We start from the raw sequence: 21,275 nt of genomic DNA, 5'->3' as shown, positions 1-21,275 counted from the left end.
CAACAGGTGACAAGGTAGGCTTGACAGGCAGGCTCCTTTGCTTTGTGTCTCTGGTACATGGAGCAGTGGCAGCGTGGGAGAGATTCCCCAATCACTATTCAATGAATGAATGAAGAGCGAAAAGGCAACTAGGGTGTCATTTATTGAGCAACTACTTCGTGTCAGCTCGGTGACCAGGTGTCTGAGAATTACCAATGGAATAAAAACCCCCGTATGGCCCTTGGTCAGATGAGGAAAGAGAGTCTCAGAGAGGTAAGGTCATTTGCCTGCCGTCACAGGGTCAATGAGTAGGAGATCTGGGACTTGACTCTAGTCCTGCCTGACTCCAGGGGCCTCTGGCTCCACTGCCTGACTTGGGGCTGTTTCCACTGCCTCTCTTAGGGCTGCCCTGTGGCTTCCTACCTGTTTCTGCCAGACTCCAATCCACTTCCCAGGGACTAGTCTGGCTGCTGAGTCCGGCTCTCCAACACCAAGAACTAGTTCCCCTGAAACCCAAGGCTCCTACAGGGCCTGCGCAGCTCAGGCCACCCGGCCATGAGCCCCAAGGATGATGCTTTGCTGACACCTGGTGGCTGCAGGGGGAAGTGGAGCCTTGGGGACGGGAAGAAAGGGTTGGCTGGGTCCTGCGGAGACAGGAGAGGAGGTAACTGTAGGCCCCGAGGAGAGGTGAGTAGGGATGACACGCAGAGCACTCCCCACGCAGAAGGGGGAGGAAGAGGGAGGAAGGACTGGGCATTCTCTAGGAAGTCCCCAGGAAGGCTAGAAGTCCGAGGTCAAGGCTTTGGCAGGGTGGGGTCCCTCTGGGGGCTGCGAGAGAGAATCTGCTCCGTGTTTCTCTCCTAGCTTCTGGTGGGTGGCCCGCAGTCTCCGGCACTCTTTGCCTTGCAGAAACATCACCCCAGCATCATCTTCACATGACATTCTCCCTGTGTGCGTGCCTGTCTCCAAGTTTCCCGTTTTCATAGACACCAGTCACGTTCCATTAGGCCCACACTACTCCAGTGTGATCTACTCTTAAAATAACTAATTACATTTGGCCGGGCATGGTAGCTCACACCTGCAGTCACAGCACTTTGGGAGGCAAAGATGGGAGGATTGCTTGAGGCCAGGAGTTTGAGACCAGCCTGGAAAACACAGGGAGTCCACCCCCCACCCCCCAATCTCTACATGAAATTAAAAAAAAAAAAAAAATAGCCAGGTGTGGTCACACACGCCTGCGGTCTCAGCTTCTCCAGAGGCTGAGGCAACAGGATCACTTGAAAGCCCAGGAGTTGGAGGCTGCAGTGAGCTATGATTGTGCCACCACACTCCAGCGTGGACAACAGAGTGAGACCCTATCACTTAAAAAAAAAATTGCACTTGCAATGACCCAGTTTCCAAATAAGGTCACATTCTCTAAGGTATTGAGGATTAGGATTTCAGCATATGAATTTGGGGGGTTCTCATTCAACCCATAATAATCACCATTGCTCTACTCTCAAACTATTACAATCCCCCCACAGTGAGAGCTTCTAGGGGCAGGGAATCTGTCTTACTTTGTATTCCTACTCTGCCCAGTTCCAGGAGTGAAACAGGCACTCAATAGGTATTGATTGAAGAATCAATGGAGAAACGGACGAGAATAACATTTATTTAGCACTTATTAGTTTCTACCTTTATGATAATCATTTTAAGCACTTTAACAAGGTTTTCAATGTGCCCCCACATCTCTGCATTCCAGCCACCACCGTGCCTTTGTGGAGTTTCTCAGAGCTACCAGGCTCCTCCCACCACAGGGCCTTTGCACGTGCCGCTCTCATCTGAGACACTCTTCTTTGGCCTCTTTACCCCTGCAACTTCTACTCTTCTTTGAGATCTCAGCTCGAGTCTTTTCCTCAAGGAAGTAGCTTAGACTTGTGCAGATTCTGTTTTTTTAACTTTTAAGTTCGGGGATACATGTGCAGGTTTGTTATAAACTCATGCCATGGGGGTTTGCTGTAGATTATTTCATCACCCAGGTACTAAGCCAAGTATCCAAATAGGCACTCAGTGGGTAATGGTTGAAGAATGAATGAAGAAATAGATGTTAGTAACATTTATTGAGCACTTACTGGTTTCTTTTTTATTATAAGTTCTGGGATACATGTGCAGAACGTGCAGGTTTGTTACACAGGTATACATGTGCCATGGTGGTTTGCTGCACCCATCAACCTGTCATCTAGGTTTTAAGCCGTGCATGCATTTGGTATTTGTCCCAATGCTCTCTCTCCCTCTTGTCCCCCACTCCCTGACAGGCCTCGGTGTGTGATGTTCCCCTCCTTGTGTCCATGTGTTCTCACTGTTCAACTCCCACTTATGAGTGAGAACATGTGGTGTTTGGTTTTCTGCTTCTGTGTTAGTTTGCTGAGAATGATGGTTTCCAGCTTCATCCATGTCCCTGCAAAGGACATGAACTCATTTTTTTATGGCTGCATAGTATTCCATGGTGTATATGGAGCACTTACTGGTTTCTACCTTTATGATAATCATTTTAACCACTTCAGCTCATTCAACAAGGTTTTCCACTTTTCCAAATGTGAGGGGATGCTTCTAAATGGAGTCCTAAAAGGGCAAGAATACCTAAAACATTCCTGAAGAATCATGTTATAGGGCCAAATGTTTTGGCACCAGGGATTGATTTTGTGGAAGACAATTTTTCACGGGCTGTGGGCAGGGGACATTAGATTCTCATTGGAGCATGCAACCTAGATCCTTTCCATGTGCAGTTCACAATAGGGTTTGCACCCCTATGAGAATCTAATACTGCCGCTGGTCTGACGGGAGGCGGGGCTCAGGCTGTAATCCCCACCTCCTGCTGTGGAGCCCCCATTCCAGGCCACGGGAGGCCCGGGAGGCCCAGGGGTGGAGGGCCCCTGTTTTAGGGACCTCAACACTGACTACAAAGCAATAGTCATTAACATAATCTGGCAAGAGTGCAGGGATACACAGACTACAGGAACAGAAAAGACAGCCCATAAAATCACCCCACCTGTGGGGAAGGGGATAGATCAGCAAGGCGACATTGCACCACAGTGCAGGAAATGGACTCCTTCATGAATGATTTAAGACACTGGACTTCCAAAAAGAAAAAAAAACTGAATCTCTACCATACACTATATACAAGAATCAGCTCCAGAAGGATTAAGAACGCAAATGTGAACAGCAAATGTTTAAAAAGTTTAGAGAAAAAAATCTATTAGGGAATTTCTTTGTGACCGGGGATTAGAAATAATTTCTTCAAGTTTGGCCAGGTGCAGTGGCTCACGCCTGTAATCCCAGCATTTTGGGAGGCTGAGGCAGGCAGATCACAAGTTCAGGGGTTCGAGACCAGCCAGACACTCAGAGGCAAGGGAATTGCAAGTCAGGTGAAGAAACAAAGGCTCAGAGAGGTTGGGCACTGTGTCCAAGGTCACACAGTTAAGAGCTAAGAAGCTGCAGAACCGTAAGACTCAGTAAGGGTTCTGTTGCCCTACTCATAGCCCAGATACTTGCCAATTCTCATTTCTATCACACACACGCACGCACACACACACACACACACACACACACCAGCTGCCAGGGGAGATCAAAGACCCACAGCAGACAAGTTGCAAGTCACACTTCATTCACTCTCTGGGAGGTCTGGAGGGTTCCTGGGCAGCAGACCTGGGTCCTGGGAAGGAGGCATGGTGGGGTGGGCACTAGTTGGAGGGGTGGAAGGCACCACATTGGTGCCCCTGCATGTCGTGGATGCAGCGCACGGACTGTACCTGAGGGTGACGGGCCCCAAAGTCGCTGCTGTCCTTGTAGTCTCCCTTCTCCAGCAGGTACTGCAGCCCACGGTAGCCAGGGTACTAGTAGCCAACCCACCTGCAGGGCCAGAGGGGAGGGGAGGGTGAACCAGGGGGACAGGAAGAGAAGCAGACAGAGAGAGAGGTGAGGGGAGAGAGATAGAGCATCCATAAGCCACTAGGAAGGGTGAAGCCTCCCAACCATTGCCACTTCCCAAGGGTAAGCAGGACACCCTTTCCACCCCACCCTTCCAGCATTGAGCCTCTGCTTTCTTCCTTCTCTTGACGGGGAGCTCACTGCCTCCTGAAGCAAATTTTGACTGAAGGCCTGTACTATACTGTACTGGGGTCAGAGCAAGGGGGTGATATCTTAAGCTCACTGAAGCTTAGAATAAGCCAGGCCTTTGAACCATCTCCCTCCAGTCTTATCCCACCTCCAAGCCTGGCTGCAAAGTCAAAGAAGAGTTGGGGGAGGTTCCAGGGGCCTTCTGATCAAAGAGGTTCCAGGGGCTACTTAATGAAAGTGCTGGTCTTCTCTCCAGAAAATGTCACACAGGCCTGGCCTGCAAGGATCTGCCTGGCCAGTCTCTGTGAACACCTCCAGCTCTACTTCTCATTCTTATGCTTCCACATCTCTGCATTCCAGCCACCATGGCCTTTGTAGAGTTTCTCAGACCTATCAGGCTCCCCACACACACACCACAGGGCCTTTGCACATGCTGCTCTCGTTGTCTGGGATGCTCTTCCTTGGCCTCTTTACCCCTGCAATTCCTACTGTTCCTTGAGATCTCAGCTCAAGAATCTTTTCTCCAAGGAAGTAGCTTAGATTCATGTGGATTCTTAAAGTATTAACAGTTGCCCCTTCTAGACTGTTGGCTACACAGGGCAGAAGCCAGATCTCTTTAATCTCCTTCACCCTGGGCACCTAACACAATGCCTGGCATATGGCAGCACTGACAGATTGAATGAATGAATGAATGAATGAGGGAATGAAGGGGAATAGGAGCACAGAACTTTGCACACTATTTTAGGAGTTTCACAAACCCCAAGAAGCCAGTATGTTTGGCTAAATTGGTTCTGTTGTGGGGAAAGAGCCTTAATTAGCAGCACTTGCTGATTTCTATGCTGTAAATGCACCCTGTGGCTGGTTTCAAGCTACCAATGATTAGTCAACCAGTTCACACAAATTCTGAAAATTTAAGAGTCAGTTCCAGGTCAGGCACAGTGGCTCATGCCTGTAATCCCTGCACTTTGGGAGGCCGAGGCAGGCAGGTCATGAGGTCAGGAGTTTAAAACTAACCTGGCCAACACAGTGAAACCCTGTCTCTACTAAAAATGCAAAAAATCAGCTGAGCTTGGTGGTGGGCACCTGTAATCCCAGCTACTTGGGAGGATAAGGCAGGAGAATCGCTTGAACCTGGGAGGCGGAGGTTGCAGTGAGCCAAGATCATTCCACTGCACTCCAGCCAGGGCGAAAGTGCGCGCCTCCGTCTCAATTAAAAAAAAAAAAAAAGTCAGTTCTTACAAGCTGGTATAAGCTATTTCCAGCACACCGCTGCCCAAAGCTCATCTGTGGACCCCCATGGAATCCAAATTTTTTACCATGAGAAATCCCTCACTGCTGATGGCCAGGGTCGATGTGCCCAGGAACTTCGATTCAGTGGAAAATGACACCTCCTGTTCCCAAACTTAGGGACACAAGTGGTCAAAGGCAGCATGGGCTGGTCCTCCTGCTTCTCATAGCTTTCAGACTACTCAACTCATTCCTTCCCTCCTGCCTCAACCTAATCCTCCCTCTGCCTCAACTTGCCCCTCTGACATACATGTCTTGCTCACTGGGGCTGAGGTTAAGGCCAAGGTTTCTCCACTCCAAAGGCATACCATTTCCCCAAAGGCAGCTCTAGAAAGAAATTCAGCGGCTGTAAGCCACCTATGGGCAGAGAATTCCCATTTACTTTCCAGTGGGAAGCCAGAGGTCAGCAGAGCACATTGATGTGTGCAAGATCACCAGTGTGTACAGGGCAGAGCAGGACTTAGGACCCCAGAGTCTCAGTTCCTGGGGCAGGGTGAGCCAGGGCTGGCAATGCACTTACATGCCACTCCGCACCCACACAGATGACACCTTCTCCTGGTAGCCATGGGCGTGGAAGCTGGGTACATCGTCATCTATGATTTCCATCTTCTTCCCGGTGAAGTTGGGGTTTTCATAGAGGATGATCTTGTGCTCTTGGCTGTCCTATTGGCAGAGGATGGGGGGAAGTGAGTATGGGTGAGGGGGCCCAGGGTTGGCCTTCCCACCCCATGCTCATGCCCCAGAGTTGGGATCAGCATGTCCCACACATCACTCTCTTCCCAATGCACCCACTACGTGTCTATGACCACTGCTGTTGGATCACAGCCGTTTGTTAAGTTTCTACTGGGCCATTTTCATGTAACAGACACTCTGCAACACTTTGGGGAATGTTTGATTCTGAAATGTCATTTTTTCCTCCTCAAGTTTCTCTTTTATAAATGGTGGCTACGATCTACCTACCCACCCACATATGAACACCCACACATACACACACACGCACACCCACACAAGCGTGCACACATACAGGCACACACGCACACTTGCACACACACACGCGCGCGCACACGTGCACACCCACACATGTACACACACATGCACACCCACACATGTGTGCACACACGTGCACACTTGCACACACACACGTGCACACACATGCACACCCACACATGTACACACACACATGCACAGGCTAACTGTGCCTCTAATAGGCACCTGAGATACTTTGATTTTTCTTCATTTCTACATCTCTTCCCATCCTCCTGTCCCTATGACATTTTCCTTAGTTATCTCATCTCATCCTTTACACATAAAACCCTTATCCCTCAGACATAAAATCCTCTTATGCCATTTAGCAGATGAGGAAAGTGCGGCACAGAGAGGTCAAATGACGTGCTCAAGGCCACACAGCTGGGAGCAGCACAGCCAACTTGGGAACCCAGGTCTGTGGGGTGCAAAGTCCAGTGTTCTCCAACCTTCCAGTAGGTCCTGGGAGGAGCTAGACTGGGCTTGGAGGGTTTGAGAGTGTAACTGAGCAGTGATGGGCCCTGTCCCCTTCCTGAGAGTTGACACTCTCACACACTAGTAAGAATCAGGATCTCAGAAGCACTGAAAACTCACACTGGCACGAGTCTTGAAGAAGAGCTAAACCACCTTCTCCTCCAGCCCCAAACTCATAATTTCTTGTAGTATTTCTGATGGCTATTGGTTATTGAGCAATGACGGGAGTTGCCCAACCCTTGGGCGCGGGGGGCGGGCACCAACCACCTAAAATAGAATGTGAATAGTGCCCTCTGGAGCATTTCATAGTCTTGTGATTGGAGCCTTCTGGAGTTGCAGTGTGACAACCCTCAAGCTAATAAGCACATTGGAACCTCAGGACAGTAGATACCAATATGCCCATTTTACAGATGAAGAAACTGAGGCTCAGGGAAGTAAAATGACTTTTGCAAGGTCACCCAGTGAGGAGGTTCCTCACCAATCAGAAGGGGCACAATGCTAGAGGGGCGGGCTCCTTCCTGGTCCCAGGACCTCCTGCTCCAAGGTGGCAGAGAGAGAAAGTAGGATGATGGCAGGGGGCTCACCACTTTGATGGGCCTCAGGCTGCTGAGTCTGTCCTCTGGCTGCTGGTCCACCAGTCCCAGTGGGCGTACTCGCCCTTCTCAAACACAAACTGCTCGCCCTTGCAGTTGGCCTGTTCATAGCTCACCCAGCTGCCATGGAGTCAGAGAGAAAGGGGGCAGGTCAGTTCCACTCCAAGCTTCCTATGGCAGAATCCTGGCTACTGATGTTGACCCCTAGGGTTCACTCTTGCCCAGCCCGGCAAGATGTAATAGCCCCACCCAAACCTTAGCACAGCAAATCCAAGTGCAAAATCCCCTCAGTTATCTAGAACTCAGTGCTATGCTGCCTTTACCCACCTGGAACACAGTTAAGAAATAAGAAGGCAGTCTAAATAACGGCCCAGCAACAAATACCAATATATAGACGCCATGCACTAAAGCCAATAGTATGCTGGTAAGTTAATAGCCAACTCTCAAAAAACAAAACGAAAATTAACACTCTTGATTTGCAGCGTTTGCCAATTTCCATGGTGTAAATGCTCCCACTGTGGCAGATTTCAAGCTATCAATACGACACGGCTGCAAGTGAAGTTAGGAAGAGAGATGCACAGTCAGCCTTCACCACTGAGAACTGACTCTAGAACATCTCTGGGCCCAAAGCCCCTCTCTTTGGATCTGTTTCTTCTCTTGTTCCTGTTGTTAGACTCTGCCCAAACTCTGTTTTTGTAGATCCACATTAGAAGAAAAATAGTACATTAAAGAGGAAGGGATGGCTTTCAGGTCGGGCATGGCTAATAGAAGAAAGCAGAAAATAGAAGAAAGAAGGCACAAATCTCAAAATGATTAGCATTCTGGGACCAACCAGTGCAGAGGCGAACATTTCAGCAATGTGCAATAATGGCTTTTCAGAGGAATGATCTAAGTCATTAACAAAAGAGGAGATCATGTTTATTATCCTCTTTTGGAAAAGTAGTCTTGATCCAGCAATTCTACTTCAGGCAATGGTTCCTTACAAAACAGTTGTCAAGGGGCTGGGCACTGTGGCTTATGCCTATAATCCCAGCACTCTGGGAAGCTGAGGTGGGCAGATCACCTGAGATCAGGAGTTCGAGACCAGTGAAACTCTATCTCTACTAAAAATACAAAAAATTGGTCAGGCATGGTGGCTCATGCCTTTAATCCCAGCACTTTGAGAGGCCGAGGCGGGCAAATCACGAGGTCAGGACTTCAAGACCAGCCTGGCCAACATGGTGAAACCCCGTCTCTACTAAAATACACAAAAATTAGCTAGGCATAGTGGCAGGCACCTGTAATCCCAGCTACTCAGGAGGCTGAGGCAGAAGAATCACTTGAACCTGGGAGGCGGAGGTTGCAGTGAGCCAAGATCACGCCACTGCACTCCAGTCTGGGCAACAGAGTGAGACACTGTCTCAAAAAATAAAAAATAAAAATAAAGAAAAAGAAGACGTTCAAGTGACCAACTGACATGAAAAAATGCACTACCTCACTAATCATCAGTGAAATGCAACTCACAAACACAATGAGATACCATCTCACGCTGGTCAGAATGGCCATTTTTCCAAAAGCAAAACAACATGCTGGCGAGGCAGGAAAGGAAAGGGAACGCTCCTACCTTGGGGAACGTGAAAACAGGTTCACACTGTGGAAAGCAGTGTAGAGATTCTCAAAGAACTTAAAACAGAACTACCATCAGACCCAGCAATTCCACTACTTAGTATCTACCCAAAAGACAATAAATCCTTCTATCAAAAAGACACATGCTCTCGTGCATTCATGGTCGTGCCATTCACAAGAACAAAGATGTGGAAGCATCCTAGATGACCAGCAACAGTGGATTTGATTTTTTAATGTGGCGCATACACACCAAAAAATACTACGCAGCCATAAGTAAAACACACAATCATGTCCTAAGCAGCATGGATAGACCTGGGGATTATTATGTTTAGCAAACCAAGGCAAGAACAGAAAACCAAATACTGCATGTTCTCACTTATGAGTGGGAGCTAAACAGTGAATACACTCGAACATAAAGATGGAAACAATAGACACTGGGGACTATCAGATGGAAAAAAGGAGGCAGAAAGGGAGTGTGGGCGGAAGAACCACCTGACGGGCACTTTGCTCACTGCCTGGGTGACGGGGTCAGTGGCCACAAGCCTCAGTGTCATCAAAGGTTCACATGTAACTAAGCTGCAATTTAATCAAAATAAAAGTTGATTTAAAAAAAAAAAAAAAAAAACAGGGTTGCCCTGGGCACAGTGGCTCCCGCCTGTAATCACAGCACTTTGGGAGGCTAAGGCAGGCAGATCACTTGAGCCTGGGAGTTCGAGAGAAGCCTGGGCAGCATGGCAAAACCCTACCTCTACAGAAAGTACAAAAAAATTAGTGGGGCATGGGGATGCGCACCTGTAGTCCCAGCTACTTGGGAGGTTGAGGAGGGAGGATCACTTGAGCCCGGGAGGTTCAAGGCTGCAATGAGCCAAGATCGCACTGCTGAACTCCAGCCTGGGTGACAGAGCAATAACCTGTCTCAAATAATAATAATAATAGGATTAGGATATATTATAGATAGATAGATAGATAGATAGATAGATAGATAGATAGATAGATAGATAGATAAAACAAAACCTACAGTCATCCAGGCAATCACTGACTGGCATAAATATAGAAAGACAACCGAATGGACAAAATGAGGGAGCCAAGTAATCAACCCAAAATTATATTTAGGGCACACATTTTTCAAAAGCACACCAAGGCACACCAGTTGAGAAAACTGGGTAGTCATGTGCAAAAGATTGAAATAGCACCCCTATGCTGCCCAATACACAAAAATCTACAAAAAATAAATCGAACAGTTAAATTCAATCCTGAAAGCAAAACACTCCAAGGAAAAAACATGGGATAAGCATATATTTGGGGGAAACTTGACACTGTGCACACAGGTCGCAAAAAGAAAAGGAAAAATTAGGGGGAAAATACGCATAGACAATAAAATGGCTTAACAATCTCTTTTTTTGGATGGAACACTGAAATCACTGGCAACAAATGCAAATATAAACATGAGAGACTAAGTACAACATTAGAGCTGCTGCACAGGACAGAACAAACGAACCCAAAGAGAAGGCATCTTAGACTAGGCATGGTGGCTCACGAGGTCAGGAGTTTGACACCAGCCTGGCCAACATGGTGAAACCCCGTCTCTAGTAATACAAAAATTAGCTGGGCACGGTGGTGCGTGCCTGTAATCCCAGCTACTCAAGAGGCTGAGGCCGGAGAATTGCTTGAACCTGGGAGGCGGAAGTTGCAGTGAGCTGAGATCATGCTACTGCACTCCAGCCTGAGTGACAGAGCAAGACTCTGTCGTGGGGAGAGGAGGGGGCAGAGAAGAAACGAACAAACAGCATCGCAAAGATGAGAAGAAAGTTTAGGGAAACATACAGCTGATAAGACCTTGTTTTCCAAAAGGCACAAGCTACTAACACTAGTAACTAGCAAAAAAACTAAACAAAAGAGAAACTAGTAACCGAACCAAAATTGGGCAAAGAGCCTGAATAGACTTTTTGGCAAAGAAGACATAACACTGACTTTATCTTTACAAAAATGTGGTTAACATTACTACTCCTGCAAAAAATGGAAATCAAAACCATACACAGAAAGCATCTCTTATTTGAAATGAATATGACAAATAAAAATACAAACACAAATGCTGGTGTGAATTTCCAGGAAAAAAGAAGTGTTTATGGGAGGGTCAATTACTATATACACTGCGGAAAGCAGTTGCAGATTCCTCAAAAAACTCAAAGTCCAATGCCATATGATCTATTCATCCCACTACTAGCTATACAGTCAAAGCAAATCAGTATTTTGAAGAGACATCTGCCTTTCCATGTCTATTGCATCACTAGTCACAATAGCTAGGATGATGGAATCAGACTACCTGTTCACCCACAGATGAAGGGATAAAGAAAATGTAGTACACATATACAATGATATACTCTCCGGTCATAAAAAATAATGCAATTTTCATTTAGGGCAACACCAATGAACCTAGAAAACATTCTGTTAAATAAGCCAAGCACAGAAAGACAAAGACAAACACTGCATGACCTCACTTATGATGAATCCAAAAACTTAACCTTCAAGAAGCAGAAAGTACAGGAGTGGTTTCCTGAGGCTGGGGGAAGGAGGGCAGATAGGAGGGATTGGTTATAGAAACAAAGTTACAGTTAGCTGGGAGGAATACATTCCTGTTCCACAGCTGAGTGACTCTGGTTACAATACTGTATTTTTCAAAAAAGCTAGAAGGGAACAATTTTGAGTGTTCTCACCACAGAGAAATAATACCTGTAGGAAGGAATAGTTAGGCTAAGTACCCTGATTTGATCATCACCAAAAATATACATGTATCAAAATGTCCCAGACGAGGCTGGGAAAGGTGGCTGTGTGTAATCCCAGCACCTTGGGAGGCTGAGGTGGGCAGATCGCTTGAGGCCAGAAGTGTGAGACCAGCCTGGCCAACGTGGCAAAACCCCGTCTCTACTGAAAAATACAAAAATTAGCTGGGCATGGTGGCACACACTTGTAATTCTAGCTACTTGCGTGGCTGAGGCACAAAAATCACTTGAACCTGGGAGCCAAAGGTTGCAGTAAGCCAAGATCATGCTACTGCACTCCAACCTGGGCGACAGAGCGGGACTCAGTGTCTCAAAATAAAAACAGAAACAAAAACAAAAGAGTCCCAGATGAGAAAAAAAGTCCCAGTATACCCTCTGTTTATGTGCCTTATTATAGACAAAACATTTAAGAAGTATAGGCCGGGTGCGGTGGCCCCTTAATCCTAGCATTTTTGGGGGCTGAGGTGGGTGGATCACGAGGTCAGGAGGTCAGGAGATCAAGACCATCCTGGCCAACATGGTGAAACCCCATCTCTACTAAAAATACAAAAATTAACTGGGCATGGTGGCGCGCCTGTAGTCCTAGCTACTTGGGAGGCTGAGGCAGGAGACTCACTTGAACCCAGGAAGCAGAGGTTGCAGTAAGCCAAGATCATACTACTGCGCTCTAGCCTGGCGACAGAGCGAGACTCCATCTCGAAAAAAAAAAGGGGTGGGGGAGGAGCGGGTGCAGTGGCTCACACCTGTAATCCCAGCACTTTGGGAGGCCAAGGCAGGCAGATCACAGGGTCAAGAGATCGAGACCATCCTGGCCAACATGATGAAACCCCATCTCTACTAAAATACAAAAAAAAAAAAAATTCAGCTGGGTGTTGTGGCATGCACCTGTAGTTCCAGCTACTTGGGAGGCTGAGGCAGGGGAATCGCTTTAACCCAGGAGATGAAGGTTTCAGTGAGCCGAGATCATGCCACTGCACTCCAGCCTGGTTGACAGAGCAAGACTCCGTCAAAAAAAAAAAAAAAAAAAAAAAAAAAAAGTTTAAATACACAATGCTAATATTATCATGGAACCACAAAGAGCCCTGAACCTCTAAGGAACCCTGACAAATACAAACTAAGTTGGAGGACTCACAATTCCTCATATCAAATTGCGTTGCAAAGCTGTAGGTAGCCAATACCCCAATACACATGGTCCTGTGATGTGCCGCTGTGCTCCAGCATGGGTGAGAGTGACCCGTCTCAAAAAAGAAAAAGATTGTGAGAAAATAGGAGGGAATCAGAGAAGTGATAACTGGTTGTTATCAAACATATACACAGAAAAAAAAACCAAATAGCATAAAAAATACATATCCAAACTAAAATCGGGCAGAAAACCCGAATAGACATCGCTGCCAAAATTACATAACATGCACAAACACGTAAGAGAAAAGGTCCTCAACATTACTATTCATCAGAAAAGATTGTACTCCAAAACCACATTCAGATACCATCCCACACCTACTGGAATACATGTTACTGAAAATATCTTAAAAATTAAAAAGAATGCTGGTGTGGATTTGGATAAAGGGAAAATCTTATGCATTGTTGGTGTAAAGATAAATTAGGATATACACTATGGAAAAAAGTTGTAGGCCAGACGCGGTGGCTCATGCCTGTAATCCCAGCACTTTGGGAGGCCGAGGCGGGCAGATTACGAGGTCAGAAGATCAAGCCCATCCTGATTAACACAGAGAAACCCCGTCTCTACTAAAAACACAAAAAATTAGCCGGGCATGGTGGCATGCACCTGTAGTCCCAGCTACTCGGGAGGCTGAGGCAGGAAAATCACTTGAACCCGGGAGGCAGACATTGCAGTGAGCCGAGATCACGCCACTGCACTTCAGCCTGGGCAACAGAGCCAGACTTCCTCTCCAAAAAAAAAAAAAAGTTGTAAATTCCTCAAAAAATTGAAAACGCAACTACCATATGATCTAGCAATCCCACTACTGGGTATACCTCCAAAGCAAATGAAAACAGTATCAGAGTTTGCAAAGCCTCAATGGGGATAGGAGATTTTCTTCATTAAATGGTTTTGAAAAAACTGATGTTTTTATGAAAAAGAATGAAACAGGAACCTTCTGGTATACAATACACAAAAATCAACTCAAAATGGATTGAAGACCCAAACACAAGGCCTGAAATTACAGATCATCATCAAATGTCTGTAAGATAAAAAGAGGGGATGGTGGAGCACTTAGTTTTGGGGCAACTTGCATCTAGGCTCACAGTTTGGAAACAGGAAAAGAAAAAAAGGAAAAAAAAGAAGAGGGACAAAATCTCGTCGAGAATGGAATGACTTATGAATATATTTATTTTTTAAATTGGGAAAGCGAATCACAAGTAACAAAAGCAAAAACAACCATGTGGGGCTACATCCAACTGGAACGCTTCTGTACAGAAAGGAAACAATGACCCAAATGAAAAGGAATCCTACAAATGGGGAGAAAGTTTGGGGGAAGCATATATCTCCTAAGGGGTTGTTATAAAAGATATGCAATACGTTAACAGCGCTAAGCAGCAATAACCACAATAAGATAACACCAAATTGGGCAGGGACCCTGAATAGACATTTCTGCACAGGGGACGTAACACTGAGCAGAATGGAGAGAACCAGGTCCTCAGCATCGCCGTCATCAGGGGTAAGTCCCCGTCAGGCTCGCACTAGGGTGTCCCTCCCCCCTGGTCAGGTGGTCGTGACCAGAGGGACAGAAGGGGACATAGGCTTCCCTGGGGGCGGGGGTTGGAGGGGGGTGAAAGAGTCCCGATTTGTCCCGATGGCGGGAAGGCAAATTTAAAAATTCATCAAATCCTGGAGGCAGCTGGCATCTTTTTTCCTCCGTCTGAGGCCTGGACAGGAGGCGGCCAAAAACCCAGACCTGGCCCCCACTCCCACCTGGGCCGGGCTTCCCCTTCCTCTCTCCCCATCTATATGGGACAGGTTCCCTCAGAAGAACTCCTCAAACCCTAAAAATACCACAGTCTGCTACACTTCCCACCCTCAAAAGCCCTCAGGGAACAAAACTAATGGTAAAACAAATATTAAAATACTATAAGAGAAAGAGGAAAACTAGTGAGAAGATGAGAATAAAGGGAACGTTCGAGGAAACAAACTTCTGTACTCACCGTGTAGAAAAAAATGCCCCGGAGAAGCTGAGCTGCACGCAGCTCCCGCCTAAGCAGTCAGGGCCATAGACGTGAGCTGTTTTCTCCCCAGGACGGGGCTCCAAGTGGTCCCCAAGCCGCCGCGGTGCCCCCTGAGGCGGGTCCTGAAGGAACCGGCCCCGCTTTCCTTCTTCTCATTCTGGACTCCACGCCACGCACGCCACGCACGCCACGCACGCCACGCAGCGTCTACGGTGAGAACACGCATGCGCACCATGTGGGGCAGAAAAGGCGGTTTCAGCGCCCCCTGCCAGTCACAGTGCACAGTGCAGGATGATTCACCTCATGGTCAGCATAAGCCCAGGTCAGGTAGGGTAGAAGGGTGCCTTGTGGGACACCAGGGAGCAGGAACTCCCCAACCTATGCATGTGGACCTCCCCCTGTGAAGCTCCCTTTTTTTTTTGGACAGGGTCTCACTCTGTCCCCCAGGATGAAGTGCAGTGGTGCAATCACAGTTCACTGCAGCCTCAACCTCCCGGACCCAAGTGATCCTCCCATCTCAGCTTTCAAGTACCTGCGAATCTGGCTGCTCCACTGTTGGGTGCATATGTATTCAGGATAAGTAAGTCTTGTGTGTGTATATACGTGTGTGTGTGTGTACATATGTGTGTGTGTGTGTGTGTTGTAAATGGGAATTTATAGGGAGAATTGGCTCACCTAATTGCAAGGCAAAGTCCCACAGCAGGTCATCTGCAAGCTGGAGAATGAGAAAAAGCAGCAGTAGTGTGGCTCCCAGGGGAACCAGCCATGTGGATTTGTTTATGTGCAAAAGCCTGAAAACAACGGAAACTTTCACTGCAGCTCCCAGTCTGAGGTCCAAGATTTGAGAATCCTTTGTGTTTGCTGGTGCAAGTAGCAGAATACAAAGGCCCAAATCATGGAGTTTCAAGTCCAAAGACAGGAGGATAGGAAAAGGTGACCCTCTTCCGGAGAGACAGAGTGAGCATGAACAGGAAAGCCCAGCAAGCTGAATGTGCCCTCTTTTCTATCTTCTTTGTTCTAGCTCAGTGCATGGACTCTGGAGCCAGGCCACCTGGGTTAACATCCTGCTCCAGCCACTTATAAGCTGGTGACCTGGAGCAGGCAGTGAATCCTCTGCGTGTTTCAGCTTCTCCATCTGCAGAAAAGTACCTTCTCATAAGAGTTGTTGAGAGGATAAAATACAGATTAATATACATGAGGAACTCAGAACAGTGTCTCTGTGTGTATAGATAATACAAACACATGTACACACAACTTCTATCCAACTGGAGACCACATTAAAATCCTCCGTTTTGAACAATACCATAATCCCCATTTTGTCCCACACCTCCCCACCCACCTCCTCAGTCGGATGATCCCTGGAGAAAATATGGAACCATCTGTATTAATGCAGTTCTCTCTCTCTCTCTCTTTTTTTTTTTTTTTTTTTTTGTTTTGAGACGGAGTCTCGCTCTGTCACCCAGGCTGGAGTGCAGTGGCGTGATCTCAGTTCACTGCAACGTCTGCCTCCCGGGTTCAAGCGATTCTCCTGCGTCAGCCTCCCAAGTAGCTGGGATTACAGGGGCCCGCCACCATGCCTGGCTAATTTTTTGTATTTTTAGTACAGACAGCGTTTCACCATTTTAGCCAGGATGGTCTCGATCTCCTGACCTCATGATCTGCCCGCCTTGGCCTCCCAAAGTGCTGGCATTCCAGGCATGAGCCACCGCACCTGGCCGGCACCAGTCTTCTTAAGGCTTTACCTGAATTCAATGTTAGCGTTATATCATAAGAGGGACCATATTAACATTTGTTTTTTGTTTGTTTGTTTGTTTGAGACAGAGTTTCGCTCTTATTGCCCAGGCTGGAGTGCCATGGAGGGATCTCGGCTCATTGCAACCACTGCCTTCTGGGTTCAAGCGATTCTCCTGCCTCAGCCTCCCACATAGCTGAGATTACAGGTGCCTGCCACCACGCCCGGCTAATTTTTGTATTTTAGTAGAGACGGGTTTTCACCATGTTGATGAGGCTGGTCTCGAATTCCTGACCTCAGGTGATCCGTCTGCCTCAGCCTCCCAAAGTGCTGGGAATATAGGTGTGAGCCACCACGCTCGGCCTAACATTCGTGTATCTCAGAACAGGGACTGAAGCACAGAGAGATTTACATAACACTCCTAGGTATGTGCAGCTTCTCAGTGGGATTTGAACCCAGGCCATAGGCACCAGGCTCCATGCTCTTGGTCAGTCTGCTCTGCTTCCTTTCCACATTGCCTCATCTAAAGAAAGGCATTTGCCTACATCATCTGTTCCATTTTAAGTGCTACCCACACTGCAAGGTCTTTCTAGGAGGACCAGGCACAGTGGGTCACACCTGTAATCCCTCAACAGTTTGGGAGGCCAAACCAAGAGGGTAGTTTGAGGGTAGGAGTTCAAGACCAGCTTGGGCAACTTAGGGAGACCCCACCTCTACAAAAAACTTTTAGAAATTAGCCCCATATGGTTGTGTGTGCCTGTGGTTCCACCTACCTGGGAGGCTGAGGTGGGAGGATCACTGGAGCCCTGGAGTTCGAGGCTGCAGTGAGTCATGAGCATGCCACTGCACGGCTGCCTAGGTAATAGAGCAAGACCTCATCTCAAAAAAAAAAAATCTCTCTGTAAGGACTAACTCTCTGATTCAGGTGGCTGTGCTAAGCAGGTGGTAAAAATTGGATCAAAAGTTTGATCTGTGAGCTGGGTGTGGTGGCTCATGCCTGTAATTCCAGCACTTTGGGAGGCTGAGGCAGCTAGATCACCTGAGGTCAGGAGTTTGAGACCAGCCTGGCCAACATGGTGAAACTCTGTCTCTACTAAAAATACAAAACTATTAGCCAGGCGTGGTGGCGCATGCCTGTAATCCCAACTACTTGGGAGGCTGAGGCGGGCGAATCGCTTGAACCCAGGAGGCGGAGATGGCAATCAGCCCAGACTACACCACTGCACTCCAGCCTGGGCAACATAGCAAGACTCCATCTCAAAAAAAAAAAAAGTTTGATCTGTGAGTAAAGTATTACTAATTTATCTATGGTCTTCTGCCTGTAAGATTTCAACAGCTATCTTTTTTGTAATTCCCCAGGATCTTGCATCCCGAACATACAAGTAATTCCTGAGGAGTTGGCGGAGCCTCTGCCGACTCCAAGCTGAGCATCCGAGAACTTCTGGCCCAACAGCACTCATCAGGAATCAGTGCAGTCTATTTCTCCCTGGAAGCAGAGGGTCCGAAAAGTTCTGACTAGGCAAAGAGTGAGAGTGTGCATATCAATTGAAGGTACTGTGACTATTCTGTTATTAAGTGCATTCAAGCAGAGTGATTCCAGTTGGTTAAGCATTTCATGTTTAAGACAAAACTTGATTTATTTATTTATTTTAAGTTGGAGTTTCACTCTTGTAGCCCAGGCTGGAGTGTAGTGGCTCGATCTCAGCTCACTGCAACCTCTGCCTCCTGGGTTCAAGCAATTCTCCTGCCTCAGCCTACTGAGTAGCTGGGACTACAGGCGTCCACCAACATGCCCAGCTAATTTTTATATTTTTAGTAGAGATGGGGTTTCGCCATGTTGGCCAGGGTGTCTCGAACTCTTAACATTAGGTGATCCACCCGCCTCGGCCTCCCAAAGTGCTGGGCCTACAGGCATGAGCCACCATGCCCGGCCTAGACAAAACTTTAAAAATGCTGTGTCATATTTCTCTTTTATTTCATGTGTGCACGTTTAAATTATTTAGTCAGTTGCCACTACTACAACTACAGAAGTAATGGCGTATTTACAACTAAAAGTTTCATTCACTTTAAATAGAAAACATCTCAACTGAAACTTTTAACATTTAGCTGATCATTAAACATTAGCTGAGATGGATCTCTTCCTGAAACAGTGTTGCCAGAGTTTTAAAAATTAAGAGAGTTTATGTAGGACAGTTTTAGATGAATGTAAAAATTGAAGAGAGTACAGAAAATTCTCAGACCCTCCCCCCAAAGTTTGCTTTTCTTAACCACCTTTTACATGGGTGTGGTCCATGCGTTACAATGAGTGAACCATTATTGATACATTGTTAGTATCTAAAGGCCAGAGTTTGCATTAAGATTCAGTCTGTGTTTTGGTAGTCTAAGGGTTTTGACATTACATGAGCTTCACCTATTAACTTCTCTCCCCTTTTTCCAGATCCCTCAGCAACCACTGATCTTTTCACTGTCCCTCTGGTTTTTCTTTCCCAGAAAGCTTATGTAATTGGAATCATAGCATATGCAGCTTTTTCAGATTGACTTATTTCACTTATAATATACATTTATGATATTTTCATATTGATTTGTGCCTTTTTATCTCAACGGTTTTTTTTTCAGGATCCTATTTTATTGTTTTTATGACTTTTAAGAAGTTAGCATGAAAATAAATCTTTATTTTCAGTTATTGCCTGCAAGTAAGAGAAAGTTAGGTTCACAGTTTTGGCTCTTGACACAAAGTGAACTAGGAGGCAAATTTAGGTCCATCAGATACAACTAATGGAGCAACTTTTTAAGTTCAGGCTATCTTGAAAGCTTGCAACATATGAGATATCGCTGTGTTGTCTCTCACGACAGCAATGGGTGACACTGAGTAGAAGCTGTGAAGTGTTTTTAATAGCAGGGGTTTTCTATCTTATGTTGCTGGAAATCAAGAGGTTTATAAACATGGTACATGTTTAGAAATGAGTTAGATACTTGAAAAGTCTAAACACACTGATTTACGAGTGCGTATGTTGCAGTCTCAAGAGGGGTCAATAGTCCATATGGACTAAATTAATCTCCGGGTAGCAGGTATGTTTGTAAATATAAAATTATATTAGACGTTAGCGCAGTGCAGAACGTGCTCAGCATCATAAGATCTGAAACACCACACAAGTTTATCCATCATTAAAAACAATTACTTCCTTCCTAAAATGTCAGAATAGTAGGTAACTGAGATTAATAAATCGAATCCAAATGTATCTCAATGGTTTTTTATCACTGGATAATATTCCATTGATCAGTGTAACAAAGTTTGTTGGTACATTCGCCTACTGAAGAACATAAAGGTTGCTTTCAATGTGGGCAGTATGGATAAAGCTACCATAAACATTCCTGTGGACTTTTTAGTACAGACATAATTTTTTTTTTTTCTGAGACAGAGTGTTGCTCTGTCGCCCAGGCTGGAGTGCAGTGGTGCGATCTCAGCTCACTGCAACCAATGTCTCACAGGTTCAAGCAATTCTCCTGCCTCAGCCTCCCGAGTAGGGAGGCCCAGCCCATACATAATTGTTTAATTAAACTGGGTAAATACTTAGGATTGTGATCACTTACTTATATGATAAGACTACATAAGAATTTGGTAGGGTTGCTGGGCACGGTGGCTCATGCCTTTAATCCCAGCACTTTGGGAGGCTGAGGCAGGCAGATCACGTGAGGTCAGGAGTTCGAGACCAGACTGGCCAACATGGTGAAACCCTGTCTCTACCAAAAATAAAAAAATTAGGCTGGGCGCGGTGGCTCATGCCTGTAATCCCAGCACTTTGGGAGGCTGAGGCGGGCGGATCACAAGGTCAGGAGATCAAGACCATCCTGGCTAATACAGTGAAACCCCGTCTCTACTAAAAATACAAAAAAAAATTAGCCAGACGTGGCGGCATGCGCCTGTAGTCCCAGCTGCTGGGGAGGCTGAAGCAGGAGAATGGCGTGAACCCAGGAGGTGGAGCTTGCAGTGAGCCGAGATCGCGCCACTGCACTCCAGCCTGGGCGACAGAGCGAGACTCCGTCTCAAAAAAAAAAAAATACAAAAATTAGCCAGGTGTGGTGGCATATGCCTGTAGTCCCAGCTACTCAGGAGGCAGAGGCAGGAGAATAACTTGAACCCAGGTGGTGGAGGCTGCAGTGAGCCAACACTGTGCCACTGCACTCCAGCCTGAGCAACATGGCAAGACTCCATCTCCAAAAAAAAAAAAAAGAATTTGGTAGGATTTACCAGTAAAACCATCTAAGCCTGGTGCTTTTTTTTTTTTTGGAAAAGTTACTGATTGATTCAATGTCTAAAATTGATACAGGTTTATTCAGTTTATCAATTTCTCCTTGGTGAGTTTTATAGTTTCTGCCTTTGAAGGAATCGGTTCCTAAGCTTATCACATTTCTGGGCATAGATTTTCTCAAAGTATTCCCTCATGGTCTTCTCAATGCCCATAGAATCACAAATGATGACCTCTCCTTTAGTTATTAGTACATTATGACTTCCTTTCTTCATGG

The 21,275-nt window shown here is 46.4% G+C and overlaps 1 long non-coding RNA gene, 1 other non-coding gene and 1 pseudogene across 4 annotated transcripts, besides 2 other annotated features; 1 reads left to right on the top strand and 2 right to left on the bottom strand.

Moving 5' to 3' along the window:
- Positions 1 to 1,604: 1,604 nt before the first annotated feature.
- Positions 1,605 to 15,196, bottom strand: CRYBB2P1 (crystallin beta B2 pseudogene 1; annotated as a pseudogene). Of its 2 annotated transcripts, NR_033733.1 has the most exons (6): positions 14,999 to 15,196; positions 9,849 to 9,967; positions 7,443 to 7,571; positions 5,882 to 6,024; positions 3,768 to 3,867; positions 1,605 to 2,416 (listed from the first exon to the last, which is right to left on the bottom strand). The product of NR_033733.1 is annotated as a crystallin beta B2 pseudogene 1, transcript variant 1 (transcript). The 2 variants fall into 2 exon arrangements; NR_033734.1 differs by lacking the exon at positions 9,849 to 9,967.
- Positions 7,467 to 7,570: an enhancer, noted in NCBI's record as "conserved acetylation island sequence 2". NCBI's record gives its function as "activates a minimal heat-shock promoter by reporter assays in Jurkat T cells {active_cell/tissue: Jurkat}" and the evidence as "EXISTENCE:reporter gene assay evidence [ECO:0000049][PMID:17135569]".
- On the bottom strand, positions 7,572 to 7,637 carry MIR6817 (microRNA 6817). The gene has a single exon (NR_106875.1). It is a non-coding gene; the product is annotated as a microRNA 6817 (primary transcript).
- Positions 11,867 to 12,064: a silencer, noted in NCBI's record as "fragment chr22:25847186-25847383 (GRCh37/hg19 assembly coordinates)". NCBI's record gives its function as "represses an EF-1alpha promoter that drives an FKBP-Casp9 reporter gene in an ReSE screen in K562 erythroleukemia cells {active_cell/tissue: K562}" and the evidence as "EXISTENCE:reporter gene assay evidence [ECO:0000049][PMID:32094911]".
- Positions 15,197 to 15,289: 93 nt separating the features above from the next.
- On the top strand, positions 15,290 to 19,328 carry LOC124905093 (uncharacterized). Its single transcript, XR_007068033.1, has 2 exons — positions 15,290 to 15,599; positions 18,111 to 19,328. It is a non-coding gene; the product is annotated as an uncharacterized LOC124905093 (long non-coding RNA).
- Positions 19,329 to 21,275: the final 1,947 nt, after the last annotated feature.

This window comes from Homo sapiens, chromosome 22, assembly GCF_000001405.40.
Source record: "Homo sapiens chromosome 22, GRCh38.p14 Primary Assembly".
Taxonomy (NCBI): Eukaryota; Metazoa; Chordata; class Mammalia; order Primates; family Hominidae; genus Homo; species Homo sapiens.
The sequence above is the reverse complement of the archived record's forward strand: the minus strand, read 5'-3'. Positions and strand labels throughout refer to the sequence as shown.